The following is an 11185-nucleotide window of genomic DNA, read 5'->3' as shown; positions in this document are numbered from 1 at the left end:
TTTTCCATCCATATTATATCTTCTTTGGTGAGATGTCTGTTAAGGCATTTGGCACACCCCCACTTTTTTTTTGAGAGAGGGTCTCACTCTGTCACCAAAGCTGGAATGCAGTGGTGTGATCACTGCTTACTGCAGCCTCTACTTTCCAGACTCAAGCAATCCTCTGCCTCAGCCTCCTGAGTAGCTGGGACCACGGGTGCGTGCCATCACACCTGGATAATTTAATTTCTGAAATTAAATAATAAATCTTTAATTTCTGAAATTAACTTCTTATCTGACATATGGTTTGCAAATATTCCCTCCCATTCCTTAGGTTGCTTTTTCACTCTGTTGATTGTTTCCTTTGCTGTGGAAAAGCTTCTTAGTTTGATGGACTCCCACTTGTCTATTTTTGTTTTTGCTGCCTGTGCTTTTGGTGTTATATCCATGAAGTCATTGCCAAGACCAATGTCTTGATACTTTTCTACTATGTTTTCTTCTAGCAGTTTTACATTTTCAGGTCTTACATTTAAGTCTTTAATCAATTTCAATTAATTTTTGTTTATGGTATAAGGGTCCAGTTTCATTCTATTGCATGTGGATATCCAGTTTTCCCAATACCATTTGTTGAAGAGACTGCCTTTTCCCTATTGCGTATACTTGGCGCCCTTGTCGAAGATCAGTCGACCATATATTTGTGGGATGATTTTCCATCTGTATGTCTTCTTTGGTGAGATGTCTGTTAAGGCATTTAGCCTCCCCCCCAACATCTTTTTTTTTTTTTTTTTTTTTTGAGACAGGGTCTGACTGTCAGCAAAGCTAAAAGTGCAGTGGTACAATCACTGCTTACTGCAGCCTCTACCTCCCGGGCTCAAGCAACCCGTTTCCTCAGCCTCCAGAGTAGCTAGAACCACAGGCACACACCACCATGCCTGGTTAAATTTTTTAAATTTGTTTGTAGAGATGGGATTTCCCCATGTTCCCAGACCGATCTCGAACACCTGGCTTCAAGTAATCCTCCTGCCTCAGCCTCCCAATCTGCTGGGATTACAAGCATGGGCCACCATACACAACTTGGCCCATTTTTAAAATCAGGTTGCTTGTTTTCCTATTTTTAAGTTTAAGAGTTCTTTGTGTATTTTGTATAACAGTCCTTTATCAGATATATCTTTTCCAAATATTTTTTCTCAGTCCCTGGCTTGTCTTTTTATTCTCTTAACAGTGTCTTCCACAAAGCAGAAATTTCTAATTTTAATAAAGTTTAGCTTATCAGTTCTTTCTTTCATGGATCATGTCTCTGGTGTTGTATGTAAAAAGTCAGCACCAAACCCAAAGTCATCTAGATTTTTCTCCTATGTTATCTTCTAGGAATTTTATTGTTTTGTGTTTTAAATTTAGTTTTGTGATCTATTTGAGTAAATTTTTGTGAAGAGTTTAAAGCCTTTGTCTAGATTCATTTTTTTTAATGCAGATTTCCAGTTGTTCTAGCATCATTTGTTGAAAAGACTGTCTTTCCTCCATTGTATTGCCTTTGCTTCTTTGTCTATGATCATTTGACTATGTTTATGTGAGTCTATTTTCTGGCTTCTATTTTATTCCATTAATCTATTTGTCTACTCTTTCACCAATATCACACTATCTTTATTACCATACCTTTATAGCAAATCTTGAAGTTGGTATTGTCAGAACTTCAACTTTATTCTTGTTTATCATTTCATATCATGTCATACCTGTTGGCTATTCTGGGTCTTTTGCCTATCCATATAAAATTTAGAATCAGTTTGTCGATATCCACAAAATAACTTGATGGGATTTTGATTGAGGTTGTGTTGAATTTCTAGATCAAGTTGGGAAGAAAAGACATCTTAACCACATTGAGTCCTTCTATCCATGAACATAGAATATCTCTTCATTTATGTAGTTCTCCAATTTCTTTTATCAATTGTATAGTTTTCTTCCTATAGACCTTGCACAGATTTCATTAAATTTAAAATTATTTTATTTGTAGTGGTGCTAATGTAAATGGTATCATGTTTTCAATTTCAAATTACACTTGTTGCCTGCTGGTATGTGGTAAAGCTATTGACTTTTGAATATGAACTTTGTATATAGCAGGCTACCTTTGCTATAATTTGTACCACTTTTTGTTTTATTTTCTTTTCTTCTGCTTATTTTGGATTTCATTTTTTTCTTCTTTTTCTGGTTTCCTAAGGTAGAAATTTAAATTATTGATTTTAGATTTTTTTTCTTTTCTAACATATGCATTCAATGCTATATAAAATTTCCTTTAAGCACTGGGTTTTCTGTAACCTATAATAAACTGCAGTTTCATTTTTATTTATTTTAAAATATTTTGAAATTTCTTTTGAGATTTCTCATTTGACCACTGTGTTATCTAGAAATGTATTATTTAATCTCCAAGTTATTTTGGGATTTTGCAGTTAATCTTTCTGTCAATGATTTCTAGTTTAATTCCATTGTGTTTTGAGAGCATATATTGTATGATTTGTACTCCTTTAAATTTGTTAAGGTGTTTTTTTATGGCCCAGAATATGTTCTGTCTTGATGAATGTTCCATGTGAGTTTGTGAAGAATGTGTATTCTGCTGTTATTGGATGAAATAGTCTATAGATGTATTATATCAAGTTGATTGATGGTGTTGTTGAGTTTGACTTTGTCGTTACTGATTTCCTGCCTGCTGGATCTATCCATTTCTGATAAAGAAGTGTTAAGGTCTCTAACCCTAATAGTGGATTCATCTACTTCTCCTTGCAGTTCTATCAGGTTTTGCCTCATATGTTTTTGACTCTGTTGTCAGGCTCATACACAACTTCTTTTCATTGGTACATTTAGACCACTGACATTTAAAATGATTATTTATATAGCTGGATTAACATATATCATGGTTGTTCCTGTTGTATATTTGTTATTCTTGTTCTTTGTTTCTATTTTTGTCTTCTCCTTTTCTGCCTTTTATGGTTTTAATTAACTATTTAACAATATTTGTTTCCTTTCTTAACGTATGAGTTATATTTCTTTTTTTTTTTTTTTTTTTACTTTTTTCAGTGGTTGCTCTAGAGTTTGCCATATACATTTACAGCCAATCCAGGTCTTCTTTCAAATAATATGATACTGCTTCATAGGTAACATGATTACCTTTTCATAATAAAATAATTCTAGTTCCTCCTTCCTATCCCTAATATCACATTGTTGTCATTCATTTTGCTTATAGATAAGCATATATATGTATATATAATCAAACGCTGTTGTCACTAGTATTATTTTGAATAAAACATTATCTGTTAAAACAATGAAAAATAAGAAAAATAAAAATTTTTATTTTTTCTTAATTTATTCCTTCTCTGATGATCTTTTTTTCTTGATGTAGATCCAAGTTTCTGGCCTATATAAGTTTTCTTCTCTCTAAATAATCTTTTTAAACATTTATTGCAAGGCAGATCTATTTACAATGCTTTCCCTCAATTTTTGTTTGTCTGAGAAAGTCTTTATTTCTCCTTTACTTTTGAAGGGTAATTTTACAGGACATAGAATTCTAGGTTGATGATTTTGTTTCGTTTTGTTTTTTTCTCTTAACACTTTCAGAATTTCACACTACTGTCTTCTTGTTTGCATGGTTTCTGAGGAGAAGTTCAGATGTAATGAACTCCTCTATAGGTAAGGTGTTTTTTCATCTGGCTTCCTTCAAGATTGTTTCTTTACCTTTGATTTCCTATACTTTTAATGTGATATGCTTAGGAGTAGTTTTTTGTTTGTTTGGTTTCAGTTGTTTTGCATCGGTCCTGCTTGATGTTCTCTGAGCTTCTTGGATCTGTGGTTTGGTGTCTGACATTAACTGGGGGAAAATTCCCAGTCATTATGGCTTCAAATATTTTTTATGTGCCCTTTCACTGTTTATGCTCCTTCGAGTATTCTCATCACATCTGATTACACCTTTTGTAGTTGTCCCATAGTTCTTGGATATTCTGTTTTCTCTTTTTTTTTTCAGTTACTTTTCTCTTTGCTTTTTAGTCTTGGTAGTTTCTATTGAGATATCGCCAAGCTCAGAGATTCTTGCCTCAGTCTACTAATTAGCCCATCAAAAGTATTCTTCATTTCTCTTACATTGTTTTTTATCTCTAGTATTTTTTTAATTCTTTTTTTGAATTTCCATGTCTCAGCTTATGTTTCTCATCTGTCTTTGCGTGCCCTCTACTTCATTCCTTAGAGTCATTAGTATCTTTATCATTGTCTTGGTTAATTTGTGCTGCTATAACAGAATACCACAGATGAGATAATTTATACAGAACAGAAATTTATTTCTCACAACTCTGGAGGTTGAGAAGTCCAAGATTAGGTTGTTAGTATCTGGTGTCTAGTGCCTTCTTGCTGTGTCCTCCCATGGCAGAAGGCAGAAGAACAAGTGAGAGTGAAAGTTGTATTCTCACATACCGGAAGAGTGAAAAAGAGAGACCCTACTCTTGCAAACTCTTTTGATATTGGCATTAATCCATTCATAAGGGCCAGGCCCTCATGACCTAAAAACCTTCTGTTAGGCCCACCTCTCAATATAATTGCATCGAAGATTAAGTTTTCAATACAAGAGTTTTAGAATGGACAAAAACATTTCAACTATAACAATTATAGTTGGTTTACATGGACACAGGGAGGGGAACAACACACACTGGGGCCTGTTGGTGCATAGGGTGAGGGGAGAGAGACCATTAGGAAAAATAGCTAATGCATGCTAGGCTTAATAACTAGGTGACGGGTTGATAGGTACAGCAAACCACCATGGCACACATTTGCCTAAGTAACAAACCTGCACATCCTGCACATGTACTGGAACTTAAAATAAAAATAGTAATTTTTTTTAAAAAAGGAATGGCAAAAACCACAATTACTTTTGCCCCAACCTAATACTTGAATTCAGTTTAACGAAGTCTGACTTTGACTTGAACTGTAGCATCACTTGTTCAATTTCAGGCACTGCTCAATTTACTTTTCTGAAATTAATCTAACCATTAGCAATATGTTTGATCTTGGGAAAGACAGGGTAATAAACATCACTTAGAGACACAGTTCAGCCTAAAAAAAAATAGTTCTTTTAAATTCCCAATCTAATAATTCCAAAATCCTTGCTATGTCTCAGTCTGGTTCTGATGCTAGCTCTGTGTCTTCAAACTGTGTTTTTTGCCCTTCAGTATGCCTTGTAATTTTTTCCTGGTAGCTGCGCGTGATGTACTGGGCAAAAGGACTTGCCGTAAATAGGCCTTCAGTAATCTCACGGTAGGTGTGGGGAGAGGGGAAACATTCTATAGTCCTGTGATTAGGCCTGCCTCTGTCTTTTAGTGAATCGATGCCTCTGAACTATGAACTTCACATGCGTTTCTCAGTTTCCCCCGCTTAGGAGGGACAGGATGGCTGGAGAGAGCTGGAGTGGGGTATTTCTCTTCTCCCACATGGAAGTATAGAGGGGGCTGAAATTGAGTATTTCACTTCCCCCAAAACACCTGGGCTCTGATAAAACCCCATCAGGTTAGGCTGTGGTCAAATAGCAGATCTTGTTAAGAACAGATGGGGGCTGGGTGCGGTGGCTCACACCTGTAATCCCAGCAGTTTGGGAAGCCGAGGCGGGTGGATCGTGAGGTCAGGAGTTTGAGACCAGCCTGGCCAAGATGGTGAAACCCTGTCTCTACTAAAACTACAAAAATTACCTGGGCGTGGTGGCAGATGCCTGTAATCCCAGCTACTCGGGAGGCTGAAGCAGGAGAATCACTTGAAACCAGGAGGCAGAGGTTGCAGTGAGCTAAGATCACATCAATGCACTCTAGCTTGGGCAACAGAGCAAGACTCCACTTCAAAATAAAAAAAAAATGAAGAAAAAAGAACAGATGAGGCCTAGCACGGTGGCTCACACCTGTAATCCCAGCACTTTGGGAGGCCGAGGCAGGTGGATGACTTGAGGTGAGGAGTTTGACACCAGCCTAGCCAACATGGCAAAACTGTCTCTACTAAAAATACAAAAATTATTCAGGCATGATGAGGCTGAGGCAGGAGAATTACTTGAACTTGGGAGGCGGAGGTTTCAGTGAGCCGAGATCATACCACTGCACTCCAGCCTGGGTGACAGAGCGAGGATCCATATCAAAAAAGAAAAAAATGGAAAAAAAAGGACACAATGGAAGAGAGTGCTGTATTGTATTGTATTTCAAGTGGTTTCTTTCCCCCTCCCACCCCGCTAGAAGCATGAGGGGGAATTTTTCTCTGATATTCACTGTAATAACCTGGTAGAGCTCTAAGAGGCAAACCTCAAAAAATGGCCCCCTACCTCCCCATGACTGGGTCCTTCAGGGGTTTTTAACTGTCAGATTTGTACACAACCAGTCTCTGGCAATTGGTCAATTACAATTCAGGTTTTCCTACCTGGTTTTGGTCCCCACAGAGGTCTCTGCTCTGACAAGTTGTTTTCTGTATCTACCTGTTTGTCTCTCCAATTTCAGAGGCAGCAGTTTGCCCTGTGATCTCACTCTTACAGACCCAAGTCAGGTTGTTGAGTTTTCAGTTTGCTCAGCTTTCCACCTGTTATGATGAAGGGGCAGCTTCCAAGTGCTTTAAATGCCAAACTGGAAACTGGACTTCCACAAACATTTTTGATCAGCCTGTGACAAGACAAATGCAGAAAATGAGGGAAAGCATTTAGAGACCTGTATAGAAATTTGACATTGCCACGGTACCCGAGTGTAAGATTTTGTATATAATAAAATTACGTTTCTAGCAGATTGGAAATTAGAAACAAAACAACAATAACAGCTGATAGAAGGAGAAGCATGGGACTGGGAGGCAGTCCAGAAAGTGATGATTTGGGATGAGAACGATACCGCTTTTGCTATTATCTAGAAGGTGCCCATAGATCCTGGGGGAAAAGGTTGAACTCTCTGAGGTACATAGAGAAGTGGTTTTCAGAGGAGGTGTGGTGGGGAGGGTCCAGCAGCCTAGGAGAGGGCACAGATTTCCCTTACCCCAACTACCTCACCCCTGCTATTAGAGTGACCATCCTAAAGTGAGATCTGATCACAATTGTGCCCTTGCTTAAATCATTTTTAAGGATTTTATTTTATTTTTTTGAGACAGTCGCACTCTGTCCCCAAGGCTGGAGTGCAGTGGCGCGATCTCAGTTCACTGCAACCTCCGCCTCCTGGATTCAAGCAATTCTCCTGCCTCAGCCTCCCAAGTAGCTGGGATTACAGGAGCGCGCCACCATGCCTGGCTAATTTTTGTATTTTTGATACAGATGAGGTTTCACCATGTTGGTCATGCTGGTCTCAAACTCCTGACCTCAAGTGTTCTGCCCATCTTGACCTCCCAAAGTGCTGGGATTACAGGCATGAGCCACTGCACCCTGCTGTTTAAATCCTTTAGAACCATCCTCCTGCACGTAAACAAATTTACAAGAAAAAAAACAAACAAACAAGGCTGGGCACAGTGGCTCACGCCTGTAATCCCAGCACTTTGGGAGGCCGAGACAGGCAGATCATGAGGTCAGGAGATCGAGACCATCCTGGCTAACATGGTGAAACCCCATCTCTATTAAAAATACAAAAAATTAGCCAGGCATGGTGGCAGGCACCTGTAGTCTCAGCTACTCGGGAGGCTGAGGCAGGAGAATGGTGTGAACCTGGGAGGCAGAGCGGGCAGTGAGCCGAGATCGCGCCACTGCACTCTAGCTTGGGTGACAGAGCAAGACTCCGTCTCAAAAAAAACAAAAACAAAAAACAAACAAACAAAAAAATCCCATCAAAAAGTGGGCAAAGGATATGAACAAACATTCTCAAAAGAAGACATTTATGCAGCCAACAAACATGAAAAAAAGCTCAGCATCATTGAACATTAGAGAAATGCAAATCAAAACCACACTGAGATACCCTCTCATGCCAGTCAGAATGGCGATTATTAAAAAGTCAATAAACAATAGATGCTGGCAAGGCTGTGGAGAAATAGGAACACTTTTACACTGTTGGTGGGAATGTAAACAAGCTCAACCATTGTGAAAGACAGCATGGTGATTCCTCAAGGATCTAGAACCAGAAATACCATTAACCCAGCAATCCCATTACTGGGTATATACCCAAAGGATTATAAATCATTCTACTATTAAGACACATGCACACGTATGTTTACTGCAGCACTATTTACAATAGCAAAGACATGGAACCAACCCAAATACCCATCAATGATAGACTAGATAAAGAAAATGTGGTACATGTACACCATGGAATACTATGCAGCTATAAAAAGGAATGAGATCATGTCCTTTGCAGGGACATGGATGAATCTGGAAGCCATCATCCTCAGCAAACTAACACAGGAACAGAAAACCAAACACCGCATGTTCTCACTCATAAGTGGGAGGTGAATGATCAGAACACATGGTCACAGGGAGAGGAGCATCACACACCGGGGCCTGTTGTGGGGGTGGAGGGCAAGGGGAGGGAGAGCATTAGGACAAATCGCTAATGCATGTGGGGCTTAAAACCTAGATGATGGGTTGATAGGTGCAGCAAACCATCATGGCACACGTATACCTATGTAGCAAACCTGCAAGTTCTGCACTTGTATCCTGGAACTTAAAGTAAAATCACAATAAAAATTAAAATTAAACAGAAACATCCTCCTGCCTTCCACTTCTCAACAGTGCCATTCACAAGGTCTTTTGCTGCCTGACTGGCAGACTGTTCCAGCCTTGTTTCCCACCTCTCCAGCCTATGCACCCTTCTCTCCCAGCAGCTGCATTTCTTAGGGTAGACCATGACATGCATGATCACCCACACACCTGTGGGTCTGCTGCCTCTTCCATTTGGAGGGTCTTCTCTCGTCTCATCCTTTTCTGATGAAATGCCACACACTCTTTCACATCCTCCTCTTTGAGGCTTCCCTGCACTTGAGGTCAAATGCATGGGCAGGAGCCAGGTGTTCAATCAGTGTTGAGCCATCTATGTGGCAACTACTTCGTCATCGCAATGCAAAGGTAGCCATAAACAAGTGCTCCAGTAACACTTACAAAAACAGGCTGCAGGCTGGATTTAGTTTGCCAAGCCCTGTTCTAAAGGAGAGAAAATATCCCCTTTTTTCTGCCCTGTCACTGAAAAGGGAATGTGGAGCTGAAAAGGGAACTTTCAAATTCAACCACTCCTCTGATGACTTGATGGTTCTGAGTCTTCATTGGGTGTTTCACAACTGGCGAGTGGGGTGTGTTTTAGGCCTTTAGGTAGGGGTGATCTCCAAATAACACAGACCTCAGCATCTGGATGTGTCAAGGCTGGGGTGGGCGTAGGGAGGGGCAAACAGGGAAGAAGCTATTTAAAGCTGGGTTTCGGGGAGGTGCTTTCTAGGATAGAGACAGCTTTGCTGGGGTTCCTATCCTTCTCAGGGAGAGAGACTTAATTTTATTGATTGAATGATTGATTGTTGAGACGTAGTCTTGCTCTGTTGCCCAGGCTGGAGTGCAGTGGCGTGATCTCAGCTCACTGTAACTTCCACCTCCCAGGTTCAAGCAATTCTCCTGCCTCAGCCTCCCTCCCAAGTAGCTGGGATTACAGGCACATGCCACCATGCCTGGCTAATTTTTGTATTTTAGTAGAGATGGGGTTTCACCATGTTGGTCAGGCTGTTCTCAAACTCCTGATCTCAAGTGATCCACCCACCTCAGCCTCCCAAAGTGCTGGGATTACAGGCGTGAGCCACCGTGCCCAGTCTGAGAGCTACTTTAAAGCAAGCATTGGCCAACTTTTTCTATTAAGAGCTATAGAGTGAATATTTTTGGCTTTGTGACCCAGACAATCTCTGTCACAGTTACTTTGTCATTGCATTGCAAAGGCAGCCATAGACAAGAGGGTGTAACTGTGCTCCAATGACACTTGTACAAGAGCGTTCCAATGACATTTACAAAACAGGCTGCAGACTGGATTTAGTTGACTGACACCTGTTCTAAAGAGAGAGAAGAATCCCCCTTCTTCTGTTCTGTCTCTAAACAGCCTTTCAGAAACCTCATTAGGATTGCCTTTGGGGTTTCTAAATCCCCAGATCTATTCTCCCCCGAAATGACATAAACAATGAATTATCTGCCCCCTCTTGCCAATTTATTGCAGAGGCCTGAAATGTCCTTCACTAGTGGGGTGGAAGATGTAGGCCACATTCTTTTTTTTTTTTTTTTTTTTTTTGAGACAGACTGCAGTGGCGAGTTCTCGGCTCACTGAAACCTCCACCCCCTGGGTTTAAGCAACTTTCCTGCTTCAGCCTCTGGAGTGCTAGGATCAAAGGCATCAGCCATCACGCCTGGCTAATTTTTGATATTTTTAGTAGAGACAGGGTTTCACCGTGTTGGCCAGGCTGATCTTGAACTCCTGACCTCAGGTAATCTGCCCACCTTGGCCTCCCAAAGTACTGTGATTATAGCAGTGAGCCAGCGCGCACATTCTAAGCATTGTGTAAGTGTTTGTAAATTTTTTTACTCAGGTCTTTATGAGATAGACACATGAAGTTCTTCTAAAACCTCACCATAAAGCAATTTTGTAATGTCAAGAGTGCCCTGTCTATGTTTCAGTGGGCTGTGTGAATTCTGGACTGGGAGAGTAAAGTTTAGCTGGTCATAAACTTGGATAACGCTGGGCACAGTGGCTTACATCTGTAATCCCAGCATTTTGGGAGGACAAGGCAGGCAAATCACTTCAGGTCAGGAGTTTGAGACCAGTCTGGCCAACATGGAGAACACCACCTCTACTAAAATACAAAAATTAGCCCAGTGTGGTGTCACGCCCCTGAAATCCCAGCTACCCCAGAGGCTGAGGCAGGAGAACTGCTTGAACCTGGGAGGCAGAGGTTGCAGTGAGCCAAGATCGCAACATTGCCCAGTGGGCGCATCTTACCCAAACTGGGCAGGAGAGCAAGACTCCATTTCCAAATAAATAAATAAATAAATAAATAAACTAAACTGGGGTAAAGCTGAGGACTGAGAGGATACCCATGTCCCTGGTATGGTTATGCTATCCACAGTTCACAGCCTATGGGGAAAATGCAAAGATTACTAATATCTTCGAGTTAGTAGAGTGATGGACAGTATAGTAATGCATAAATTATGCCCGTAGACATTAAAGGCAAACATGTCCACTTCTTTGGTGATATACTCTGCAAAATGCCCAAAGAGCCATGT

The sequence above is a fragment of the Homo sapiens genome, chromosome 16, assembly GCF_000001405.40.
Source record: "Homo sapiens chromosome 16, GRCh38.p14 Primary Assembly".
In the NCBI taxonomy this organism is placed as follows: domain Eukaryota; kingdom Metazoa; phylum Chordata; class Mammalia; order Primates; family Hominidae; genus Homo; species Homo sapiens.
Note: the sequence above shows the minus strand (reverse complement) of the source record.